Source organism: Homo sapiens, chromosome 18 (genome assembly GCF_000001405.40).
Source record: "Homo sapiens chromosome 18, GRCh38.p14 Primary Assembly".
Lineage (NCBI taxonomy): Eukaryota > Metazoa > Chordata > Mammalia > Primates > Hominidae > Homo > Homo sapiens.
The window spans coordinates 11,297,175-11,324,969 of record NC_000018.10 but is presented as its reverse complement, the minus strand read 5'-3'; the positions used below and the strand labels follow the sequence as shown (position 1 = coordinate 11,324,969).

The 27,795-nt window shown below is 39.5% G+C and overlaps 1 long non-coding RNA gene across 1 annotated transcript; it reads left to right on the top strand.

Annotated features, from left to right (window-relative positions):
* The first annotated feature begins 5,950 nt into the window (after positions 1-5,950).
* Positions 5,951-8,222, top strand: LOC105371993 (uncharacterized). The gene is made up of 3 exons (XR_935154.3): positions 5,951-6,141; positions 6,703-6,764; positions 7,682-8,222. It is a non-coding gene; the product is annotated as an uncharacterized LOC105371993 (long non-coding RNA).
* The last annotated feature ends 19,573 nt before the right edge of the window (positions 8,223-27,795 follow it).

Genomic DNA, 27,795 nt, shown 5'->3' with positions numbered 1-27,795 from the left:
AAATATTTTTTTAAATGTTACGTGCTTGCATCCTTGGCTTTCGGGGTGAGGGGATTGAAAAGACTAATCTTTAAGATTTCTTCTCCTGAGAGCAATCCTAGGACTCTGAGACCACGTTTCCCAGTGGCTGCAGGTGACTGCTAAAGCTCCAGTGACCTCTTGATTTGAGACTCAAAGCTCTGTGTCTTGTCAAGATCAGCCAGGGCCTGGCACACAGGAAAATGTTTGCCTTCATGGCAGATAGTTGTTGAAATCTTACACCCTCCCATGATTATTATGGCGAAATCTTACACCCTCCCATGATTATTATGGCAGGCAAAACCAAACAACCCTTGAATCATAAATTTTAAACAACTGAAAAAATGCTTTCAGAGCCAAGAGAGGCTTTGATTTTTTCCCTTGTTGAAGATTTTTATCAAATGAGATAGAGAGCATTATGCTTTCTTCTTAACCATCATCTCCAAGGAGTTCAAGAAATTGTGGCTGGGTAGAGGCCCTTGGGATTCTCCTTTAATGATTAAATTAAAGAATGATTTGAAATGACTTTTTACATATAACTAACAATAATATTAAATTGTTGTTAAGTTCTGCATATAAGTATTACATCATGAAATACACCTAGAATGTTATATAACACACATAATATGTAAAGGAGCTACTTGTTTTATCTCCTCTTTGCAAATGAAGAAAGGATGCTTTAGACAGGTTGGATAACTAACCCAAGGCCACAAGTAACTAATCTGCAGAACTGACCTACCTGCCTCCAAAGCTCGGATCTTAACTACTATACTATATGGCAACCCTGGGAAAATAGAACAAAAAAACCTAACTTAAAAAGATACAACATATATCTGAGTTCAAATCCAACCTTCATCACTAACTCACTTCAAAAAGTGAGATTTTTGACAAACCTCACTTTCTTTAGTCACGAAGCTGAGGTGAGTTTTGAATGAGATAACGTATACAGTGGCACTCAGCAGAGTACCTGAACAAGATTAACTTGTTAATTGTTAACTTCTTTCCATTAAAAAATGAGATTTTCTTGGGGCAGGTGTGAACATCGCAGCTAGTGAGTGAGACTGCCTAAGCCCTCACTGCCCAATACGGTGGCCACACGGCTAGTTAAATTTAAATTAGATTTAAAGTTAAAGAACAACCTGTGTAAAAAATAAATACTACATGTCATGGAGGGATCTGTAAACACCAAGAGGAGTATGAGTCAGAACAACTGTGTGAAAGATAAGGTCAGATGGAGATAAATCCCTGGGGTGCCAAGAAAGCCCTGGGGGTGGGGGCGTGGAAGCAAAAGACAGCGGGTCTCTGCGAGTCACTCTTGTTCAGTCTCAGGACCCTGGGAGACACTCATGGTTTCCTGGGCTTTTTCCCAGGAATTTGGCATTGAACTTGATGTTAATCTGAGGGAGTTTCCAGTTCCTGGCTGCGAGGCTGGATGAGGACACGTGGCCCCGAGGCACAGAGAGCCCAGGGCTGTGGGCAGAGAAGAGTCAGAGCCTCAGGGGCCTCGCCCTGTCCAGAACTCCACGTGACATGACGCCCCACAGAGCGAACCTCTGACAAACAAGCATGGGGCCCGTGTTGCCCTAGTGGATGGAAATGGACGTGGGAAGCAAGGTATGGTACAGATGCTGCCTTAGAGAGAAAGATAATTACAGGCAAAACTGAGCTAGACGACTCTGCTCCAGTTTGAAAAGTTTGCCATTTGAATGGCAAAGACTGAACAGCATATAAGCGTCCACTTTCTGACAGTAACCACCTACATATGGTCAATTGTAACTATTTACACTAATAATATATGCTGGGGATTCTCTGTCTCCCCATCTACATCTATTCTCCCTGGCCTTGTCCCCGGGGAGAATGATTTCCGGGACCATCTTGGCAATGCCTTGTGCGCTGATCTCCGCTGGGTTTGGTGAAGAGGAGACTTGAGGAGATAGAGAAGCTGGAGGTCCAGGGGCTCTGCAGTGGCTGTGCTCATGTCCTGAGGAGCACACCCCTTGCAGGACACCTCTCCCGTGGCTGTGGTTCTGGCTGGGTCCTGGATGACAACTTCCTTCTGTTGCAGCCCCTTCAGGCCCTGGCTCGTAGTGTTTGCAGAAACGTGGTGCTTTGCCCTGCCCTGTTGTTGTTAACCAAATCACATACTGGTAACTAACTCTTTCACTAAACTCTTGCCCATTATCCATTTTGAGGGTTCCTGAGATGCCAACTGATCCTTGAATCTAATGATTTGAAGATGGCTGAGAACTCCTTAACAGGCAAAATAGGTTTTGTTGGCCGGGCGTGGTGGCTCAAGCCTCTAATCCCAGCAGTTTGGGAGGCCAAGGCGGGCAGATCACCTGAGGTCAGGAGTTCGAGACCAGCCTGGGCAACATGGTGAAACCCCGTCTCTACTAAAAATACAAAAATTAGCCGGGCATGATGACATGTGTCTGTAATCCCAGCTACTCGGGAGGCTAAGGCAGGAGAATCGCTTGAACCTGGGAGGCGGAGGTTGCAGTGAGCCGAGATTGTGCCACTGCACTCCAGCCTGGATGACAGAGTAACACTCCATCTAAAAAACAAAAAAAAAAAAAAAAAAAAGTTTTATTGTGGCTTTTCCTTGTGCTCTATGTTTATATGGATACTGATACGGTTTGACTGCGTCCCCACCCAAATCTCATCTTGAATTGTACCTCCCATAATTCCCTCGTGTGGTGGGAAGGACCAGTGGAGGGTAGTTGAATCATGGGGAGGCGGATCTTTCCTGTGCTGTGATAGTGATTAAGTCTCAGGAGATCCAATGATTTTATAAAGGGGAATTCCCCTACACAAACTCTCTCTCCCCTACCACCATGTAAGAGGTGACTTTGCTCCTCATTGGCCTTCCATCATGATTGTGAGGCCTCCCCAGCCATGTGGAACTGTGAATCAATTAAACCTTTTACCTTTATAAATTACCCAGCCTCGGGTATGTCTTTATTAGCAGGGTGAGAACAGAATAATACAGATACACTGCAATGAACCCCAGGTCTTGGCCAGGATCTTTCTCTGTCTTCATTTTTGTCCCTTTACTTTAATACTATTTATATATGGATGACTTCTACATTGATGTCACTTGCCTAAACTTCTACAGAGTTCTAAATTTGTATACCCAACTGTGTACTTGACCTTTCTTTTTGAATTTTCTATAGGCAGTTCACACAGAACATGTCCAAAGCAGAATCTGCCTTAATCCTCACCATCCTGCTCCCTAACCTGTTCTTGCCCATCTTCCCTACTTTAGATTTTGGTAAATTACACCACTATTTAACCAAACGCTCAAACTATAAACTTAGGTATTTATTTCTTAAGTTTATTTTTCTTCTATAAGCTCCCCCCACCGCTGCCACCTTTTTTTGGTCTGCAACCTAGAAAGAATCCTCTAGGAATAATTTTTTGCATTATTATTTGCTATGGTAATAACAAGGAAACATTACATTGAAATGCAGTGTTAATAGGGCATTTAATTTATTTAACTTACTTTGTAATATTGTGAACTGTCTATAAGTCTGTTCTTATTACACTAATGACAACTAACAAACCTAAGCATCCTCTAACTTTCAGTAACATTGGTAGCTATTTACGTTCATAAATTATTTCCTGTAAGCCCTCAGAGGAAAATTACCTCTTAATCTTTTCTTACCAAACGTCTCACAAAACCAGTGGCTTAAAGGGGAAATATTCCTTTTGCAACCACATCCTGTCCCCAGGCTTTCTCTGTGTGCCAAAGACACATGTTTGTGTTTATCCTCTGATTCTGAATCACTACTGAACTTAAATTTCTTCCTGGTGACTGCCTGGGGGTCGAGATGACTTATTTTAGATGAAATTTGATTAACCCAATGGGTACCACCAAGGAAAAATGCCGTAGATTTTTTATTTTGGTCCTACAATCATTATATGTGTGTGTGTGTGTGTGTGTGCGTGCGCGCGCGCGTGTGCGTGTTTTGCCATGGTAGATTTCTAGGGATGCAGGAATTTGCTTTTAGATATTTTTAGATATTTCCTTTTAGAGAGTGTTTGAGGCGAGAGGGCATAGATTGCTTTCAGATCATGCCAGTCTTCAGATGTCAGAAAAGGACAAAGACATAGCTAGTTCTGGGATTTATTTTAGAAAGGAGATTGACTGCAGGCAATGACACTGGGGAAACACAGGCAGGGCCAACCTGAGACGAAGGCAGAGAAGCAGCTCACCAGGCAGATGGGAGCCATCGGGATGCTTGCTGTTCTTGAAAAACATATCCTCTTCCTGCAGTATCTTATTGGAAATGCCACAGTTGGGGATGTATTCTCTTATCAGAAGGCTTCTTGTTCTCTATTAAAACACAACACCCCAGGAAGCTATTGCACCGAGCCTTAACAGCCACGATGCCACTATGATTAGTTTATCGGCTCGTTTCAAAGGGTGAATGGGATGGAGGAGAATATTGGGGCATGGAGGGGAGAGGTTGTCCTGCAGGTGAAAAGAGTGTGGGCAGGGGAATAATGGACTGGGAATGGTGACTGAGGATCTGTGTTAGTTGTTAGAAAGGATCAGGTAGACCAAAGTGCTAGGAGTGAAACAAATAAAAAAATTATTAGGCATGAGTAGATGTGTTTCTGCACCCATCAGATTTTGGGTAGAATTTCTCCCCATCCCTGCTGGCATCTGGTCTGGATCTCTCCACTTTTTTATTGCTCACAATCCTTGGTTTTCAGACACTTGTAATCCCACTCACTCTTCCTGGCCTTCCTGATTAACCTGAGATTTTAAAAACTGATTTTGTATTTTTAGTAGAGACGGGGTTTCACCATATTGGCCAGGCTGGTCTAGAACTCCTGACCTCGTGATCTGCCCTCCTCGGGCTCCTGAAGTACTGGGCACTAGCCAGGTCTGGTGGCATGTTCCTGTAGTCTCAGCTACTCGGGAGGCTGAGGCAGAAGAATAGCTTGAACCCAGGAAGCAGAGGTTGCAATGAGCTGATATTGTGCCACTGCACTCCAGCCTGGGCCACAAAGAGAGACTCTGTCTCAAAATAAATAAATAAAAATAAAACACAAAACAAAACAAAACTGATTTTGTTTTCTGCTCTGTCTTCTCTGATTTTATTAAGTTTCTGCATATAATTTATTAAATGGTAAAAGCGAAGGTTTGTATATTTGTGAGTGACGTGTGTGTTGACATATATATTTTCTCAGTTAATAGGTTTTAAAATAGTTTCTATGTATATCAAGAAACTGGTCAAGAGAGATTGCGTCTACCTTGAGATGGGGCAGAGAGAGGGTTTTCCAGGAAAGAGAGCAGAGCCAGACAGACATGAAGGAAGCTGCATATTGTGTCTGGGTGATATAATTGGTCCAACATTGCCCATGCAGAACGTGAGAACTGGGAAGTCATGGATTTACACAGGCAAATCTTGAGAATTTCTCCATAAAATTCCAAGACATCTAGGTGAAAACAATTACTTATTTATTTATTTATTAGAGACAGAGTTTCGCTCTTGTTGCCCAGGCTGGAGTGCGATGGCGCGATCTCAGCTCATTGCAACCCCCACCTTCCGGATTCAAGCAATTCTCCTACCTCAGCCTCCCGAGTAGCTGGGATTACAGGCAGCTGCCACCATGCCTGGCTAATTTTTGTATTTTTAGTAGAGACAGGGTTTCACCATGTTGGGCAGGCTGGTCTCAAACTCCTGACCTCAGGTGATCTGCCTGCCTTGGCCTCCCAAAGTGCTGGGATTACTGGTGTGAGCCACTGCGCCCGGTGAAAACAATTTTTAATACCTAGACATTTCTTTATTAACCCCAATTTATCTAAGTTACATTCTAAAATTTACTCAGTTTTATTATTCAACTAATATAGTACTCTTCTTAAGTGCCTTTAGGCTTACTTATGGTGTTTTTTTAATCTGCTGCCCATCTGTAAACATAGCAAGATGCATGTAAATAAATGGATTCCACAGAAGAGTGAGGCCTCATCTCAGCCTGCTGCCTGGGCACTGAAACTCACCCTGAGCTGTCTCATTAGCCCAGAATCTTGCACTTGGAAGACAGTAGATCAACGTCTTCTCGCTCTACAGGTCACCACCCTCAGACTTTGTCTTCAGGAAGAAATGCTTCCAGGTTATTTCTGACAATTTTCTCGGATTAAAAACATTTGAATGGGCACATACATGTGTTTTTTCATGAGCTGTGTAAACAGTTGGCCAGTAAACAGTGAGGGGTACAGCTATTTACCTTCCAGATTCATTGTAGGTTTCAGATGCACACACTCTGAGTTTATTTAGAGTTCCTTCTAAAAAAAAGGGCCCACATACATGACACAATGTAACTATGTCATTAGCATGATTTTAATATCTGTGTTGGCCAAAACTATGAGAGATATGCAGAATCCAATTGTATTATTTACTACTTGTTATAGCCCTATCAAAATTCTAGCATGAAAATACAGAGATTATAAATAATTATATAAATGATGTATGAAATAATCTAATGCTTTATTAATGAGATTTTTAAAATTCATAATAAACACTTAGATTTAGTGAGTTTCTGTTGTGTCTGGAAAAATATTTGTGTCAATTCCAATTGAGTTGGTGTAATTACAATGGCGTTAATTTGATTGTCTAAAAGTAAAAAAGAGTTGTTCCTTATGACCATTTTTCTCCTTAACTCTCCATACTTCAGAGAACATCACCTAAGAACAAGGGCATTCTCTTACATAACCACAGCATAATTACCAAAATCAGGTAAGTTACACAGCTGTAATACTATTATTTAACCTATAGTCATATTAAAAATTTGCCGATTATTCAATAATATCTGTTACAGCCATTTTTCCTAATCCAGGCTCCAACTGAGGATCATACATTGCCCTTAGTTTTCATGTCGCTTTAGTGTCCTTGAATTTAGAAAAGTTCTTTAATTTTTTTTTGTCTTTCATGGCACAGGTATTTTTGAAAAGTATATTTCAACTGTTTATTTTGCATACTGTCCCTTAATTTGTTTGTATTCTATGTCATCATGATTAGATTTCAGTTATGCATTTTTGGCAGAATGACTACATAATTGGTATTGTATTCCTCTTAGATCTGATCATTAAACGTGTTCATTGCTAAGGGGCTCAGTGAGTTAGATATAAAGATGGTTTTCCGAGTCAGTTACTTGAAATCTTCAAGGAACAGATAATGCTTCTAATATATAAATTATGCCCCAAAGCATAGACAATTAAGGAAACCCAATTCATTTCACTAAGCTTTCAAAATTCTCACATAAAATTGTGATAATGAGAACACACAAAACTAAAGACCAAATTCACATGTAAGTGTAGATGTAAAAATAGTGGGTAAAATTCTAGAAGACTGAGATCGAAATGTGAAAGGAAAATAAAACTTGGGACCCCAATTCACTCTGCCAAAATTAAAAATCAGGCTGAAAGCTGAGACCTACAAAGAAGCTGCCTTTCCTTTTGTTCCTAAGCAGAGAGGTACATATAAAAGGTTAAATATTTCCACAGGTAGCTACTCTATCTCCACCTTATCTTATATAAAGTGTGGATTTACTGAGCTCCAGACAAATACAAAATTGACCATTCCCTTACCTGCTCCTTTATCTTGCAACATGTGGATTCCATAATGTAACCATACTCTCTTTCCCTCCCCTCCAGTCCACTTGTTCCCGTTAAATATTGAAGCCGTCAAAATCATCTTTCAAGAAAGGCACAGACCTGTCTCCTGGTCACATCCTCGACCTTGGCAAAATAAACTTCAAAACTGATTGAGACCTGTCTCATGAATTCCTGAGAAAAACCTATTTGCATGAATTCATGAGCAGTTTAATTTATTAAATCATGAATATATAACATTACATCAATAGAACCAATAAGAAAAAACATACAATATCCTCTATGCTGAGAAAGTGGCAGAAGAATTTAATACCCATTTCTTGGAAAATGAAATATTGGAATATACAGAAAAGTGAAAAATCAAAAAGGGTGGTGTTGGCAAAAAAAGACTGGATAGATGGAAGGAACAATGGAGGTGATACAGAATGTAGCATGTGAAGAAGCAGAATGAAAAAGGATACATCACAAATCAAACAGAAAAATTTACTAAATCACTTTTTATCTACTTCCACAATAATGCTGTAAAGAAAACCACTTCAAAGCTTGGTGGAGCAAAGCAATAAACATTTATGATTGCTCATGAGCCTAGGGTCAGCTGGGTGGTTCTTCTGGTTGGGACAGGGCAAGGGTGATCTTGGTTAGGCTCACTCAGCTGGAGGGTTGTTGACTGGTGACTGGATGATCTAAGATGGTTATGCCTGGGACAGATATAAATATAGAAGAAAGTAGAAATTTGGTTTTGTTTGTAGCTCCTCTTAAAATATCCTATCTGATTTAAAAGACTACTGCCTAATGCAATAATTGTACATCTAAGTAGATTGATACACAATGTATTAAGGCCTCAAAATATATGAAGATGTATATTGGGACCATAACAGCCCTAAGGGGTAGGGGAACAAAGCTATATAGAAACAAAATTAAAAAAAATACTATTGAAGTAGTTGGTAGTAATCCAAACTAGATTATTGTAAGCTAAAATGCTAATGGTAACCCCAATAATAATCATGATAAAATACTCAAAAATATATAGTAAAAGAACTAACTGGAAAATAGAAGTGGTACTGGAAGATATCTATTTAACACAAGGCAGTAATGGAAAAAAAAAGGAAGAACAAAAAAGACGTAAGTCACGTAAAAAACAAATAACAAAATGGCAGACGTAAATTCTATCTTACTTATATTAAATAGTAATAGATTAAATTCTCCAATTAAAAGTCAGAAATTGGAAGAGTGAATGAAAAAAACATTGTATAAATATACGCTATATCTATCCAACAATATGTATACAAGAAACACACTTTTGATTCAAAGACACAAATTGGTTGAAATTAATATGATGGAAAGAGATGGATAACCAACAGAGAGCTGGAGGGACTATGCTAATATTAGACAAAATAGACACATGTTGTTCCTGGAGACAAAGGACATTTTATAATGACATAAGGGTAAATTCACCAAGAAGGTATAACAAATATAAATATATGTATATGTAACAACAGAATCTCAAAATACATGAAGCAAAACTGACAGAATTGAAGAGAGCAATAGACAATTTACCGGTAATAAAGACTTCACTATTCTACTTTCAACAACGGATAGTGCAACTAAGCAAGAGAATGAGATTTAATATCTAGCATTACCTTAATTCTATTTCTTTGTAAAATATATCTTGGCTATTTGTGTCCAATTGTTACACTTACACAAACACATTTAAAAATTAGTATTTCACACATTATATAAATGATGCTAAGCAAGCAATAGGATTCTTTATTTAATCATCACTTAATTGTTTTTTTTTAAAAACTCATCTACCTGGTATATATTTGTCCATGGTTTCATATTCAACTTTTATCTTAATTTTGATTTAAGTATATTTTTATCAAGCAACACAAAATTATTTTATTATATGAATTTGATTTTATCTCATTTAGTTAATAAATATAACCTATTCACATTTTTCATTGTAAAAATAAAATCTGTGTTCTGGCTAATTTGTTCTTCATGTAGCCCATGGCTTTTCAAATTGATTCATTTATCTGATTGTTCTATTTGAATTTATCATTTAGTAATTTTGTTTTCAGAAGGAATATTTCTCTCTCTCTCTGCATGTGTGCATGTATGTCAGTTTTTAATTTATAAAACTCTGCCTTTTTTTCTTTATTTCATAGCAGGCTATTCTTTCACATGTTAAATTTTCTGAGTCTTGGCATGTCTGTAAATATTAGTTAACTGTTAATACATAAGTGATCATTTTGCCTTAGATCTAGAAACCCGTGAAGTAGATAAAAGTCTGATACCAGTTTTTCTTTCATTGTGGGAATTTTAAGCATTTTATCTTGTTAAAATTCAAAAATTTTGTATCCTTCTCTTTTCAAATTTTCCTTTTTGACATTCAAAGGACCTTATAAAATTGGAGATTAAAATCTTCATCGCAGGAAATTATCTTTCTTCTTTTCTTAAAAATCATTTCATCTCTTCATTGTTCAATTCTTTCTAAAATTTCTATTAGATGAACATTAGACTTTCTGTAATGATCCTCTTTGCTTTCAAATTTTTCTTTCACTGAATCTATTGTTTTTTTTTCCTTTATGGTATGTTATGGGAGATTTCTCCAAGTTTATTTCCCAACAAATAGTTAGAACTTTAGCCATATAATACGGAATTATTCAGTTTTTATATTGACCTATCTCCTTCCATTTCTCTCTCTCCCTCTGTTTGTATATGTATATCAGTTTTTAATTTACAAAACTCTGTTTAATTTCATAGCTGGCTGTTCCTTTAAAAGAGCATAAATAGATTAAGGGCTTAAATCTCTGACAACATTAATTTGTATTTTTCAGAAGTTCTCTTCTTTCCCTTCTCCATCTCTGAGTATTTCTCTAGAACCTAATGTTTCCTTTGTTTATGGAGGTCTTTTTCTTGCATGTTCTGAGTTACATTCGAATCATTCGAATGCCTCTTGATTTTTTTCTTTTTCTTCTTATTTTTCTTTTTGAGACAGAGTCTCACGCTGTCAGCTAGGCTGGAGTGCGGTGGCACAATCTTGGCTCACTGCAACCTCGCCTCCCGGGCTCAGGCAATTCTCCTGCCTTAGCTTCCCGAGTAGCTGGGATTACTGGCATGTGCCACCACGCCTGGCTAACTTTTTAATTTTTAGTAGAGATGGGGTTTCACCATGTTGGCCAGGCTGGTCTCAAATTCCTGACCTCAGGTAATCCATCCGCCTCGGCCTCCCAAAGTGCTGGGATTACAGGTGTGAGCCACCACACCCTGCTGATTTTTAAAATCTGTACGTTTGTTTACGGAGGACAAAATGTTTAGAATGGGTAATTACGGAGTTTCCTCAGCAGCCATGAACGGTCTTTTCCTCGAAGGGCGTGTCCCTATGGAGAAGAGCAAACTCCAGGGCTGGAGATAGATGAGGTGAAGGTGCCAAGGGAAGCCTGCTTTTCCTGGGGCTGGCAGGGGTGTAGGCACAGGAGCTGGAGCTCAGATGAGCACCGATTGCCTTCACTTCATGGCAGGTCAGAGGTGCTATCCCCTCAGCACAGATCTGAAGCTAGCATAGCCTCTGCTATGCCTCTTTTTCTTGCCTAATAGCTTCCTCCATGGTTGGCCTCCTTCCTCTGCAGAAGCACAACTTTGTTCAAAGGTTTTTTTAAAAGGCACAATGACTCAAGCCTGTAATTTCAGCACTTTGGGAGGCCAAGGTGGGAGAATCACTTGAGCCCAGGAGTTCGAGGCTACAGTGAGCTATGATGGCCCTGCTGCACTCCAGCCTGAGCCACAGAGCCAGACCCTGTCTCTAAAAAAATAAAAAGAAGTAAACACATAAGAAAGGAAGATTTAAAACCAGGGACAAATATTAGATGCAGTTGTTCTTTGTACATGGGTGAAGGAGGAATACATCCTGTGGGTTGTTCTTGATTAAATACCATAATAATTAGCCAGATCTTGGTACCTGTACTTATTTAAAATTGTTTAAAAATATACTTTCATGCCTTCTGTTTTTATTTTATAGTTACTGTAGCCTTTCATATTTCTCCGAAAGTTCAAATTATATTTATTTTAAAAATCATCTTCTCTCTTCCGGATGCATTTTGTCCTGAAGAGTTGCACATGCTGCCTCTGTGTCATGGTGCTTGTGTTTGCTGCTTCTCAGGCTTGTAAACATCTCCCTCAAGCCTCCCAGCTCTCTCCTCCTCCATGGTCGGCTTATTCAGTCTCCACTTGTATTCAAGCCCTTCTTTCTTTCTCAGCTCAGGATGTTTTCTTGTTAATTGCCCCGAGAAGTAGTCGTGGTGGTCATGAGCCATTATCCAGATGCTGCTGCCTCCCAGGCCCAGCCCCAAAGGATCACATGCAAAACAGAGGAAATGCACTGCAGTGTGTTATCAAGCTGGGACCCCAGTCCAGAGACAGATGGGAAAGTCGGCGGAGGTGAGGGCAGATGGGTGTGAACCGGAGATGCTGGTCTTGATTCCCGGCCTCGGCTTCCTGCACCTGTCGGCCCACACTTCTGTGCACTCCCCCATCTCACCTGATAGAGCAATAATATGTCTTCTGTTTATCCCAGCATCCCAGCATCCCAGCATCTTCCCAGAAATCAGATAATCTTAGTCATTCACATTTCTTCAAGCTACTTTATGAACAGTCTTCTTATATGGCATGGTTTTTTAAAAAACTGGAAAAGATTTCCTGCCTCTAAAACAGTTTAAGCAAAATTGGAAAAGTAGCTTTTGTTCTTGCCCACTTCTGCTTATATTTCTGATTTTATGATTATGTAGGTATGATTATACCTGGTGGATATGATACGTAGCTTACCCTATTTTCAAAAAGATCATCTCTTTATTCCTTTAAGGTTATATTATATGAGTCATTTCTGTTCAAATGACGCCGGCTTCTTTCTTAGTTAAATTTAAAAATGTTTTTCCCAGGCCAATCAGGAACTTCTGGGATTTGAGCATGGCTACTCCCTTTTAATGTTATGAAGTTATATATTAAAGTTGATAAATAGTATCTTTATTAATTTTACCCCAGTTATTTGCACCCCTGGACATGTACCTGTAGTAGAATTCACTGCAGAAGCTCAATTTAAACGCCCTTGTTTCTGACCCTCACTCAAAATCTGTCCTTTATGTCACTTGCAGGTCAAGTTTAGTAGGTGTTATCTCTTGCAGGATAAGAAAATAGGAATGTGTCAAATAGGACACATTCCCGTAGGGTCAAATAGGAATGTGCTCTAAAATATTTTTTAATTTTTAAATTTGCTTTCTACAAACATATAAGCTTTTAAATCTATAACATTTCAAAAACAAAATAGTAGAAAAACAAAGCTCTTTGGATGACACCATCATTCACAGAGGAAAACAACAATAATGTACTCTTATAAATAAAGATGAAAAGATGTGGGTTTCACATCAGTAACTTTCAGAGTCAGGTGATAATATTCAATGGCAATATTTTTGTTAGACCTCCATCACCATTTTATTGTCTTCAAGATAACAAACTTATGTGGCATTTTAAGTCACTCAGTTGCCCAGAAATATACTTTACAATCCTTTTATCTTGGTGAGTGCACCAGGAAGTTTTATTACTTGGTATTAAATATTCTGTGAGAGCTTTATTGATTCTTTTTTAGTTATAAGGTGGGCATTTGATTATTCTTGATTTTAAAAATGTCTGGTTTTTGTTAACCTCAAAAGGAAAGCTTTCTGGAACTTGTTGGTAATCTGACTGTAAGGTGACTGACTTAGGACCTGCCATCAAGCTGCCTTGGAACACTCCCAGAAGACTCTCTGTGAGAGATGGGAGACCGCAGCTGTGGGTACCCACCCTGCCTCGATGGGGCTGCTGGTCATGGATTTGGTAGATACTAGGCATTCATATAAGACCTCATTTACATAAAGGGCTTAATTGTTGTAACCACCTCCAAAGCACTGCTTTATTAGCCAGAACTTTAGGGACTAGATGACCCCTTCAGCACCTTGTCATAGTGAACCTAAATTGTTCTGAGAGCAGTTGTGGCTCTGTTCATAAGTAGCCCCCTAGTCCCTATCTGTGGAGAGAGGGGATCAGGTGTGTGCCCTCTTCAGACCGCTCAGCATCACAGGAAGACCTTAGTCCTGCCTCGCCCTCCAATCAGCTAACATCTGTGGCTTCACATTAAACTGGAACCACTGTCCTTCTCTACCTAACAAAAGTTACATTGTGAGAAATATTTACAGATGATTAACTGTCATTGTCCTCCTTGAATCTGTAGCCAAAATACTTAGAACAATTTTTTTTGTGGCTTACTTACCAACATAAAAGATCTCAAGGGATGGATTTTGGTGTTACCTTTACTGCTGCTTTATCACCAGCTCTCTATTGCTTCCTCTTCTGTAATTTCTTCAGCAAGTATATTTTAAATTTTGTTACAATACTTATGTGTTTATGTAAGCTATTTACAACCCCTGTTTTTCATTTTATAAGGAAATAAAAATTTAAAAATTTGCAATCTATTTATAATGTAGGATCAATTTAAATCAGCATATTACCACTCTGAAGGATGGTAACTTGTTAAGCCTTATTTCTGATGATTCAATGAAAAGCTTTATCTAGCACCTGCACTTGACCCTAAGGACTGTGGTCTCAATGCTGACCTCTGGTGGCCATGTTCTGCCAGCCCCTGCCCTGCCATCCACCCCTGCCCTCTGCCTTTCCAACTGCTGTGTCTTGTGCTCCAGTCTTTAAAAGAGCTACCTTTGTTTTCAAGCTACAGCCATTATTGTGACAAATATATTGCTCCTACGCTAATATATATATATATCATGCCTTAACTCCAGGAGCCCATTTACAGCTAGTACTATTGAAACCAAGGGGTTAATTTCATCAGGTATGCCTGCCCTGTTTGCTTTTGATGGCCTGCTTTTTTGTTGTTTTTGTTTATTCGTGTTTTCCATGAAGCCAAAGGCCTTGACACTCAACGCTGATACTTAATCATCACTGACTACTTTATGCATAACATTAACAGGTCAACATGGTAATGGTTGCTTCTGTTGCTTTTCAGAAACTTGGGCCAGCTCCTGTTCAGTTCAAACTGGTTGAGACCACTGACACTTCAACGGAGCCTGTGCAAGTGCCCGAGAGGTGGCCTTTTGACTTCAGAAGGCCCAAAGTTCCACCCTTATGTTATGCTAATGCCGCCTTTCTATACATATGTCCTATGAAATACTGTGAACCCTGTGCAGAAAGAACCTGTTACTTCATTTTCCCCCACTGCCAATCACCTTTCCTCACCCTGTGTCCCTAACCCATAAATATCCCTCAGCCTTATCTTCAGGGAAGTGGATTTGAAAACTATTCTCCCACCTCCGCACTTGGTGTCCTTGGGAATAAATTCTTTCCCTCTTACAAAACTAGTGTTACAGTGATTGATTTACGGCACATGGGCAGAACAGACCTACACCTGGCTGGTAACACTATCAGGTACCAAACAATGAGGAAGAACAGATAATGCAGAATTTTTTGTATATCTGGCCTGGCTTGCAATGGGACTGACAGACTTCTCACATCACTTAGTGGAACTGTTCATTCCACCTTTTCTTTGGGCTTTCTCGGGTGATTATAGCAACACCTGAGAAGAAAATAATAAAGACATCAACACAGTGGAACTCTCCTGAAAAGCCCTTCTTGTGTACCTGCTCAGGGTTTCGTGCCTTTGTTACTATGCATCTCCATTAGGTGTCCAGAGACCACAGAAAGGTCAGCCAGATGAAAAGGTTACTGGGTCAAAATAAGTTCAGAAAAACTTCATCACAGCAAAATACTAGCCACAGAAATAGTTCTGAGGTAGGAGATCAGCAGGACTTGTTTTCTGATCACAACCTTGCTGATCTAAACAGGATGTAGCAGAGAAACTGGCAGAAACCAGCAGATGGCAACAAAAGCAACCTCTGGTTGTCCTCACTGCTCATTAGCAAAAAGGCACTCCCACCAGCGCCATGACAGTTTACAAATGCCATGGCAATGACCTGGAAGTTACCTTATGTAGTTCTGGGAACTCCTCTGCCCCTTTTCTAGAAAATTCCTAATAATTTGCCCTTTAATTATTATATAATTGAGATTGGGTATGAATATGGCTCGCCAGCAATCCGTGGGGACTGCTGCTCTGGGCTGCTACCCTGGCTGCTGCTGCTCCAAGATGCTCTGCCTATGGGATGGCCCTGCTCTGTCTGTGGAGTGGCCATTTTGTTGCCCACTGTTGCTCTAATAAACTTGCTTTCCTTCATGGCTAGCTCGCTGTTGAATTCTGAGTGAAGCCAAAAACACTTCCAGGCTGAGATGCAATTCTGGGGTTTGCCTGCCTCAGTTCTTTCTTTTGCCTACTAATTTCTATGAAGCAAAATGGCCATTACTCTGTCATTGTGAGAGATACAATTAGAATGCACTTCAAGAACAATCAGGAATAGCGTCCCTTGTGTCAGACCCTGGCAGACAGAGCTGGCAAATCACTCAAGATTTGTCTGATAACAGGAACTATCACAATCTTTTTCCAAACCACAGCTTACCACATGAGTCACACAAGGACAGCTAGCAGCACAATACAGAATAGTTGCCGGTTTCAATACCGTCTCACCAACCCAATCCAAAACTACAAGGGCCTAACTAAAACCCCAAGATCAGAAGTCCTACCTTGCAATGACTGACACTGGCCCATCAGAGTCACCAGCTCTTGCAGGATGCCGCCAGCACCAATAAGCTTTCTTTCAAAACAACTTGCGTAATCTCCTCTTTCCCCAATAAACTCTTGCCTTTTCCTTTGTTCCAGAGGCCACTCTGGTGAGTCTTTAGGTCCTGAATTGCAATCCTACTTTTTGTGTATTATTCTCATATAAAACCTTTGTACTTATACATTTATCTCTATTTTTTTATGTTGATGATGCAGGGCAAGCAAGCCCTCAAACTGGGGCTTAGCCGGGGAGGGTTCTTGGCTTTGCCCAGGAAAAAATTCAAGGACAAGCTGGTGGTGTTAGATAGCAACTTGTTTATTGAAGTGGCAACGTACAGCAGAAGCAGAGGTACTGCTCCTTGCAGAGCCATGCTATCCCATAGGCAGTGTGCCCCAAAGAGCAACGTATTGGCTGTGGGCTAGTTGTATTTATACCCAATTTTAACTATATGCCAATTAAGAGGCAGGTTATTTAAAACTATCTGGAAAGGGGGCAGGGAGTTTTCAGAACCATATAAGGTAACTTCTGGGCCATTGCCATGGCCCGTTGCCATGGCATTTGTAAATTGTCATGGTGTCAGTGGGAGTACCTTTCTTCTAATGAGCAGTGAGGGCAACTAGAAGCCACTTTTGTAGCTATCCGCTGGTTCTGGCTGGCTTCTATACTGCACTCTGTTTCAACCAGATCCTGCTCTGATCAGCAGGGTCACAACTAGGGTAGTGACCAGTGCTCAGAAAACAAGTCCTGCTGGTTTCTTATCTCATTGACAAAGTGATTTTGGTTCCATCTGGCACCATTAGAAAGTTTCACCTCTTCAGCTATTTGTTCATATTCAGAGTTTTTGTTACTTTCTGTTTATTGAAAGTGGATAGAACCAAATTTGGGGAAAAAAATCTTAATTTTTCAGAAGGTTTTATTTCAATTTCGAAGGTGTCATCATTTCTAAAGTTCACAAGTTTAGTCACACTACTAGCTCTCTTCCAGCAAGACCCATACCTTTGTTAATAAAAATAACAATCTGGAAACCAGTGTTTACACATTTTGTGTTCTGAGCTGGGGGTGGGAGGGGGATGGCTGATCCCAGGGAATGGTGTTGATGGAGAATCTCCCATGTGAATGTTGGGGTGGCTACATTCTAAAATGGAGAACACAGACTTTCTTATGTAAAAGGATGAAGTATGTGTTCCACTACAGAGTCATCAGGATCCTGGAAAGAAAAGATAAATATGACTTCCAAGAAATAAAAGTTAAGCTGTTCATAGTGGCTCCTGCCTGTAATCCAAGCACTTTGGGAGGCCAAGATGGGTGGATCACTTGAGCCCAGGAGTTAGACACTACCTTGGGAAATATGGTGAGACCCTGTCTTTGTAAAAAATAAAAGATAAAAATTAACTGAGCATGGTGGCACATGCCTGTGGTCCCAGCTGCATGGGAGACTGAGGCAGGAAGATTGCTTGAAGCCAGGAGGTCAGGGCTGCAGTGAGCCATGTTTGTGCCACTGCATTTCAATCCGGTCAACAGAGTGAGACCCAGTCTCAAAATAAAATAAAATAAAAAGGACTTTTTTTTTTGTTTTTTAGATGGAGTCTCGCTCTGTAGCCAGGCTGGAGTGCAGTGGCTCGATCTCGGCTCACTGCAAGCTCTGCCTCCAGGCTTCAAGTGATTCTCCTGCCTCAGCCCCATGAGTAGCTAGGACTACAGGCATGCACCACAACACCTAGCTAATGTTTTTTTATTTTTATTAGAGATGGGGTTTCACCATGTTGGCCAGGATGGTCTCAATCTCCTGACCTCGTGATCCACCCGCCTTGGCCTCCCAAAGTGCTGGGATTACAGGCATGAGCCACCGCACCCGGCCCAAGGACTTTTCTAGATTCAGAAATCAAACAGAAGATTCCTCAGTGGAACTGTGTGCATGTATCAACTATCGAAGGCAGATGTCTGGGGTTTTGTGTCTCAAAGTTTTCAGGACAGTCCTTGTTTCAAATATCCTTGTTCCCATTGTGTGTCTTCATGGTTTAAGAAGCATGGGCATATAAGCCCATGTAAAGTGTGAGCTGAGAATATGACTATGAGTAAAAGTCTATTATCTAACCTTATTTGTAACCAAATCTTCTACCTAGGGGATTTTTGCAAACACCTCTATGTTAACATACTGCTTGGCTCGAACTTTATTCACACTTTTTACCTGAATTTTTACCTTTACATTTTCAATTTAAAGCTACACCTGCCACAGTAATATTTTAATTTTAACTCTTAACTTGTCTTTTTCTTCTAATTTAATAACACGAGGGTTAGTAAGAAGCACTTGATAAGGGACCTTCCACTTTGGTTGGAGAAAGTCTTTTTTAAAATGTTTCCAGTTAACAAAATCTTCTGGTTGAAGATTGTGGGTCTTGAATTCTTTGTTTCTGCGGAGCCCATTAAGAAAATAATCTTTTGAGGGTTAGAGCAAGATGACCAAATAGAAGCCTACACCATTCATTCCCCCTGCAAGAACACCAAATTTTAACAACTAATTACAGACAAAAAGCACCATTTTATGAACTCAAAATTAGGTGAGCAAACAGTATCTGGTTTTAACTTCATGTTGCTGAAAGAGACACTGAAAGGGAGTAAGAGAGATAGTCTTGAATTTTCAAAGCCAACTCTCCCCGATCTCTTGGTAGTTGCCAAGTAGTGCAGATAATCTGTATTTTTGGGAGAGGGAGAGCACAGCAACTGGGGGACTTTACATTGAACTCAGCACTGCCCTGTCACAGCAGAAAGAAGAACTGGGCTGTACCCAGCTGACGCCCACCCACAGAGGGAGCACTTAGACCGGCCCAGGCCAGAGGGTGATCACCCATCCCATGGTCAGACCTTGAGTTCCAGCAAGCCTCACCACTGTGGGCAAGAGTGCTCTAGGGCCCTATGTAAACTTGAGGGGCAAGCTAGGCCATGAGGACTGCAATTCCTAGGCAAGCCCTAGGGCTGAGCTGGGATCAGTTAGTAAACTGGGGTGGGGGAGGGGGCATGCAACATACTAAGACACCAGCTGAGATGGCTAAGGGAGTGCTTGTGCCACTCCTCCCCCAGCCCCTGGCAACAACCACACAGCATGGAGAAACCGGTGTGCTTGGGAGACGCGGAGCACAGCAATTGTGAGACTTTATATTGAACTCAGTGCTGCCCCGTTATAGCAGAGAGCAAAACCACGCTGGGCTCAGCTACTGCCTGAACACAGAGGGAACATTTGGACCAGACTAACCCGAGGAGAATTGCCTATCACAGTGGTCACAACTTGAGTTTCTCAGCAAACCTCGCCACCATGGGCCAAGTGCTCTAGGGTCCTAGGTAAATTTGAAAGGCAGTCTAGGACACAACTGCAGTTCTTAGGCAACCGCTAGCACTGGATAGGGCTTAGAGCCAGTGGACTAAGGTGGCATGTGACCTAGAAAGACACCAGTGGGGTTGCTAAGGAAATGCTTAACCCACCCCTCCCCCAACCCCAGACAGCACAACTCACAGCAACAAAAGTGACTCCTTCCTTCTACTTGAGGAGAGGGGAGCAAAGAATAAAGACGGCTTTGTCTTGTATCTTGGATACCAGCTTATCCACAGTAGGAACACTGGGTAGAGTTGTGAGGCTTGTTGTATAAGAAATGCTAAAGGACGTTCTTTAATCTGAAACAAAATGATGTTAATGAGCAAGAAGAAATTATCTGAAGGTCCAAAACTCACTAGTAATAGTAAGCACGCAGAAAAACACAGAATAGTATAACATTGCAATTGTGGAGTGTAAACTGCTCTTCACTTAAATGATGAATCAATCAAAAACATAACTACAACTTCAAGACATAGACAGTACAATAAGACACAATAACAACAAAAAATTAAAAAGCAGGAAGATGGAGTTAAAGTGTAGAATTTTTGTTAGTTTTCTTTTCGTTGTTCATTTGTTTGTTTATGCAGTTAGGGTTAAGCAGTCACAGATTTAAAATAATGGATTATACGATAGTATTTACAAACCTTGTGGTAACCTGAAATTGGGAAATATACAATGGATACACACAAAATACAATTTTAAAAAGCAATAAATTAAATTATACTGCCAGAGAAAATCACTTTCACTAAAATGAAGACAGAAAGTAAGAAAGAAGAGAAAAAAATCACCAAAAAAAAAAAAAAATCAGAAGGCAAATAACCAAATGGCAAGAGTAAGTCCTTACTTATCAATAGTAACGTTGAATGTAAAAAGACTAAACTCTCCAATCAAAAGACACAGAGTAGCTGAGTGGATAAAAAAGCAAGAACCAGTGATCTGTTACCTGTAAGAAACACATTTCACCTGTAAAAATACACAAAGACTGGAAATAAAGGGATGAAAATAGATATTTCATGTCAACTGAAACCAAAAAAAGAGCAAGAATAGCTATTCTTAGACAAAATAGATTTCAAGATAAAAGCTGTAAGAAGAGACAAAGAAGGTCATTATATAATGATAAAGGGGTTGATTCAGCAAGAGGATATAACAATTGTTAATATATATGCACCCAACACTGGAGCACCCAGATATATAAGGGAAATATTATTAGAGCTAAAGAGAGAGATAGGCCCCAATACAATAGTAGCTGGAGATTTCAACGGCTCACTTTCAGCATTGGACAGATCTTTAAGACAGAAAAGCAACAAAGAAACATTGGACTTAATTTGCAACACAGATCAAATGGACCTAATTAAATATTTAAAGAACATTTAATCCAATGGTTACAGAATACAAATTTGTCTCCTCAGCACATGAATCATTCTCAAGGATAGACCACACGTTCGGTCACAAAACAAGACTTAAAACATTAAAAAAATTAAAATAATATCAAGCATCTTCTCCAACCACAATGGAATGAAACTAGAAATCAATAAGAAATTTTGGAACCTATACAAACACATGAAAATTAAACAACATGCTTCTGAATGACCATTGTATCAATGAAGATATTAAGAAGGAAACTGACAATTTTCTTGAAACAAATGATGATGAAAACACAACATACCAAAACTTATGGGATACAGTGAAAGCTGTACTAAAAGGGAAATTTATAGCATTAAGTGCCTACATCGAAAAAAAAGAAAAATTCAAATAAATAACCTAATGATGCATCTTAAAGAACTGGAGAAGTCATTCTGGGAGGCTAAGGCAGGTAGATTGCTTGAGTCGAAGAGTTTGAGACCAGCCTGGGCAACATGGCGAAACCCCATCTCTACAAAAAATGCCCTAGCTTGGACCCAGGGTGCGTGTCTCCCCCACAGGGGGCACCCCAAAGCGGCAAGAAGTCCCCAGGGGCACAGAGACAGGAGGCCAGGCTTGCAAGGGGACATTGAGGCAGCCGGGGAAAAAAAGCGGTGAGGCCGAGGAGGAGGCTGGGGTCGTCCCGTGGAGGTCAGTGCCTCCTTGGCAGCCCCTGTGCCTGCCCGGGGGTGTTGTGGAGTCCTGGCTTGCACGCAGGGTGCGTGTCTCCCCAATGGGAGGCACCCCAAAGGGGCAAGAACTCCCCAGGGGCACAGGGACAGGAAGCCAGGCTTGCAGGGGGTCATTGAGGCAGCCCAGGATAAAAGCAGTGAGGCCGAGGAGGGGGCTGGGGTTTTCCTGTGGAGGCCAGTGCCTTCCGGGCAGCCCCTGTGCTGGGCCCCGGGGTGTCCTGGAGTCCCTGGCTTGCACCCAGAATGCGTGTCTGCCTAGGCTGCCATGGGAAGGTTTCTTGAGCTCAGAAGCGCAAGGCTGCAGTGGGCTGTAATTACATCATGACAGTGCAGCCTAGGCCACAGAGGAAAACCCTGTCTCAAAAAAAAAAAAAAAAAAGAAAGAACTAGAAAAGCAAGAGCAAACTAAATCCCAAATTAGTAGAATTAAAGAAATAATAAAGATTAGAGGAGAAATAAATGAATATGAAATAAAACAATATCAAAGAGTAATAAAACAAAATGTTTGAGTTTGAAAAGACAGTTGACAAACATTTAGCCAGACTAGTGAAAAAAGGAGACAAGACCTAAATAAATAAAATCAGAGATGAAAAAGGAGACATTACAACTGACACCACAGAAATTTGAAGGATCATTAGTAGCTACTATGAGCAACAAGTTGGAAAATGTAGAGGAAATAAATTCCTAGACATGTATAACCTACCGAGACTGAAACATGAAGAAATCCAAACTTGGACATACCAATAACAAGTAACGAGATAGAAGCTATAATAAAAATTCTCCCAGTTAAGAAAAGCTTGGGACCCAGTGGCTTCCCTGCTGAATTCTATCAAACTTTTAAAGAAGTATTGACACCAATCCTACTCAAACTATTCTTAAAAATAGAGGAGGAGGGAATACTTTCAAACTCATTCTATGAGGCCAGTATTACCTGATACCAAAGCCAGACAAAGACATATTAAAATAAAAAACTATAGGCCAATTCCTCTGATGAATATTGGTGCAAAAATCCACAATAAAATACTAGCAAACTAAATTCAAAAATACATTATAATGATCATTCATCATGACAAGTGGGATTTATCCCTGGGATCCAAGGATGGATGGTTCAACATATCTAATTCAGTCAATGTGATACATCACATCAACAGAATAAATGACAAAAAAAATGATCATTTCAACTGATGCTGAAAAAGCAATTGAGAAAATCCACCATCACATTATGATAAAAATCCACAAAAAACTGGTTATAGAAGGAACATACCTCAACTTAATAAAAGCCATACTTTACAGACCCACAGCTAGTATCATATTGAATGGGGAAAAACCGAAAGCCTTTCCTCTAAGATCTGTAACATGACAAGGATGCCCACTTTCACCACTGTTAATTCAACATGGTACTGGAAATCATAGCTAGAGCAATCAGACAAGAGAAAGAAAGAAATAAAGGATATCTGCACTGGAAAGGAAGAAGTCAAGTTATCCTTGTTTGCAGATGACATAATCTCATATTTGAGAAAACCTAAAGACTACACCAAGAAAACTATTAGAACTCATAAATAAATTCAGTAAGTTGCAGGATACCAAATCAACATACAACAATCAGTAGCATGTCTAGACACCAAGAGTGAACAATCTGAAAAAGAAATAAAAGAAGTAATTCCATTTACAATAGACACAAATAAAATTAAATACCTAAGAAATAAGTTAACCAAAGAAAGGAAAGATCTCTACAAAAAAAACTATAAAACACTGATAAAATAAATTGAAGAGGACACCAAAAAATGAAAAGATATTCCATGTTCATTGATTGGAAGAACAAATATTTTTAAAATGTCCATACTACCCAAAGCAATCTACAAAATCAATACACTCTCTATCAGAATACCAATGACATTCTTCACAGAAATAGAAAAAACAATCCTAAAATTTATATGGAACCACAAAAGATCCCGAATAGCCAAACCTATCCTGAGCAAAAAGAACAAAACAGGAGGAATCACTTTACCTGACTTCCAATTATACTGCAGAGCTATAGTAACCAAAACAGCATGGTACTGACATAAAAACAGACACATAGATGAATGAAACAGAATAGAGAACACGGAAAAAAATCCATAAATCTACAGTGAACCCATTTTTGACAAAGGTTCCTAGAACATACACTGGGGAAAGACAGCCTCTTCGATAAATGGTGCTAAGAAAACTGGATACCCATATGCAAGAATGGATGAATGAATGAAGAATGAAAGAGAATGAAACTTCTCCCCTGTATTAGTCCATTTTCATACTGCTATAAAGACATACCCAAGATTGGGTAATTTATAAAGAAAAGAGGTTTAATTGACTCTCAGTTCTGCAGGGCTTGGGAGGCCTTGGGGAACTTACAATCATGGTAGAAGCAGAAGAGGCACTTCTTACATGGCAGCAGGCAAGAGAGAGTGGTGAGGGAAGGGGGAAGAGCCCCTTATAAAACCACCATATATGGTGAGAGCTTACTTGCTATCATGAGAACAGCATGGGAGAAATCGCCCCCATGATTCAATTACCTCCAACTCGCAGTAAGTGGAGGACAAGTGGGGATTATGGACATGGCAACCCCTATGGCTTGCCATATAAAAAAATCAAATAAAAATCATTTAAAGACTTAAATCTAAGGCCTTAAACTATGAAACCACTGCAATAAAGCCTTAGGGAAACTCTCCAGGTCATTGGTCTGGGCAAAAATTTCTTGAGTAATACACCACAAGCACTGGCAACCAAAGCAAAAATGGACAAATGGAATCAAGTCAAGTTAAAAAGCTTCTACACAGCGATGGAAACAATCAACAAAGGGAAAGGACAACCCACAGGATGGGAGAAAATATGTGCAAACTATCCATCTGACAATGGATTAGTAACCAGAATAGTGAGGAGCTCAAACAACTCTATAGGAAAAAATCTGGTCTGATTAAAAAATGGTCAAAATATTTGAATAGACATTTCTTAAAAGAAAATATACAAATGGTAAACAGGCATATGAAAAGGTGCTCAACATCACTGCTCATCAGAGATATGCAAATCAAAACTATAATGAGATACCATCTTCTCCCAGTTAAAATGTCAGTTATTCAAAAGAGAAGCAATAACAAATGCTGGTGAGAATATGGAGAAAAGGGAACCCTCAGACACTGTTGGTGGGAATGCAAATTAGTACAACCAGTATGAAGAACAGTTTGGAGGTTTCTCAAGAAACTAAACATAGAGCTACCATAAAATCCAGCAGTCCCACTGCTGTGTATATAGCCCAAAGAAAGGAAATCAGCATATCAAAGAGTTATCTGCACTGCCATGTTTGTTGTACCACTGTTCACAGTAGTCAATATTTGGAAGCAATTTAAGTGTCCTTCAACAGACTATTGGATAAAGAAAATGTGGTATATATACACAATGGAGTACTATGCAGCCATAAAAGGGAATAAGATCTTGTCATTTGCAACAACATGGATAGAACTGCAGGCCATTATGTGAAGTGAAATAAATTAGGCATAGAAAGACAAACTTCACATATTGTCATTTATTTGTGGGAGCTAAAAATCAAAACAGTTGAACCCATGGAGATAGAGAGTGGAAGCATGGTTATCAGAAGCTGGAAAGGGTAGTGGGGATAGCAGATGGGTGGGAATTGGGGATAGTTCCCCAACTGGGGATAGTAATGGGTACAAAATAAGACTGTAGTTAATAATAATTTACTTGTACATTTTAAAGTAACTAAAAAAGTATAATTGGATTATAACACAAAGATAAATGTGTGGGGGGATGAATACTCCATTTTCCATGATGTGATTATTACAAATTATATACCTGTATTTGGATATCTCATGTACCCCATAAATATATGCACCTACTATGTACCTACAAAAATTAAAAATAAATAAGAAACTTTCACTAGATAATAATTTTTAGTTAATTGTTTCATAAGATTAGAAAAATAAAGGAATATGTCTCCACTTACAGTTAAGGAGTTTTAGTTTCCTGGGGAGAGATTCATAGGTCTGTCAGTTATTATTTCAAATGAGGAAAACTGAGGTTTCCTAAAAGGGGTAACCTAAGGTTAAGCACAGTCAATGGAAGAGTCTTCAATGATGGAATCTAAAAACTTTTGTTATTTTTGCCAATTGATTCTTAATTATTCCATTTGTGTGCATCTCCAATCCAGGTGATTGGGGATAATACGCACAATGGCAGTGTTGGAGGAATGGCCAAATTTTACATACTGATTGAATTTTCTGTCCAGTAAAATGAGTACTTTCATTATTGTGGAGTTCCTTTGGAACATTCCAAGTTGGAATAATCTTTTCTAAAATAATTTTACTTGCTGCTAAACAGTCACTCTTCAGCATGAAAATGCTTTTAGCCAAAGAGAAAACATGCAAATAATGACTGGAACATACTTGTATCCTTGTGATGAAGGCAGCTGAATAAAATCTAACTGCCATCCATAAGAATGATACGTTGGACTTTGGGGAAAGGGTGGGGGTGATTAGGGGTAAAAGACTACACATTGGGTACAGTGTACACTGCTTGGGTGATGATAGATGCACCAAAATCTCAGAAATCAGCACTAAAGAACATATTCATGTAATCAAACACCACCTGTTCCCCAAAAACCTATTAGGAAAAATTAAAAAGTTTTTTAAAAAATGTAACTGCCATGCTTCAAAACACCATCAGGTAAAGCAAAATGTCCTTAGGAGCCATGTAAAGGTTTTCCTGGATTATCTTTTCGGCAGATATGGCAGCAATTGTATACCTTATGAACTATAGTTGGAGAAAAACATTTTCTCAAGCAACTATTTTTTCAGGGCTCCAATGAGTTAAATCATGTACATAGGTTAAAAATGATGATCTCCAGTAGGAAGTATAGATAAGTTGTTTGGTCCATACCATACTTCATCTTTGGGAGAATATGTTCCTCCTTTTGTCTTCTAATTTTCTGTTTGGATTTTGGAGCTCTGGATTGAGCTAATTTTATTCCAAATTCAGGTGCTTCTTTGAGACTTAATGTAGATTCCTTTTCTTGTTCAGATACGTTTAGAGCAGCCATTTTTGCTACCTTATCAGCTAACTTGTTTCTTTTATTTTCTGCAGTATCTGATTTGGAATGACTCGGAATTTTAATAATGGCCAGTGAATTTTAATATGGCTTCTAGTGATGGTGAAATAAGGTGTTCATTTTTTATGGACTGACCACAAGAAGTTAAAAAAAACCTCTTCGTTTCCATAGCATTCCAAAATCATGAGCTCCTCTGAAAGCATATCTGCCATCTATATGAATATTTGTAGTTGCCAACTGGTAGGCTCTGATTAATGTTATCAATTCTGCTTGATAAGCTGAGGTGGCTTCTGGAAGGTAAGCACTTTCTTTAGTTAAAGATAATATAGCATAATCCGAAAAGTAAGTCCCAGGTTCATCTTTTAAGTAAGAGTAAGGCAAGCTTCTTGTAGGTCTGTTCTAGGAGAGAGAACCTGGTGAGTTGAGATTATGCAATTGTGTGGTATCTCATCTGAAGGCAGAGACAGAGGAGCAGGGGGTTTAGATTTTTGCACCTAGATATTGTAATATGAGCTACAGAAAGAAAAAGAACTTCCTAAGAAGCTAATCTGCTGACAGAATAATGTTGAGTGTGCTATGAATTTAGAAATACTTGCAAAGAATTTGGCATGAAAACCAAGAGGGGAGATCCATCACTCTTTCTTCGGTTGCTCTTACTAACAGAGCAGTGGCAGTTATTGCCTTCATGCAAGGTGGCAATCCTTTAGCCACAAGGTGTAGTTGCTGACTAGTATCCTACAGGCCTATTTTGGTCTCCATGTTTTTGTTTCAGAATGTTTAAGGCGTTTCCTTGATTTTCATGAACAAACAATGAAAATGGAATATTATAATTTGGATATCCCAAAGATGCAGCATCTATAAAGTTCTTTTTAAATTTCTTCCAATAT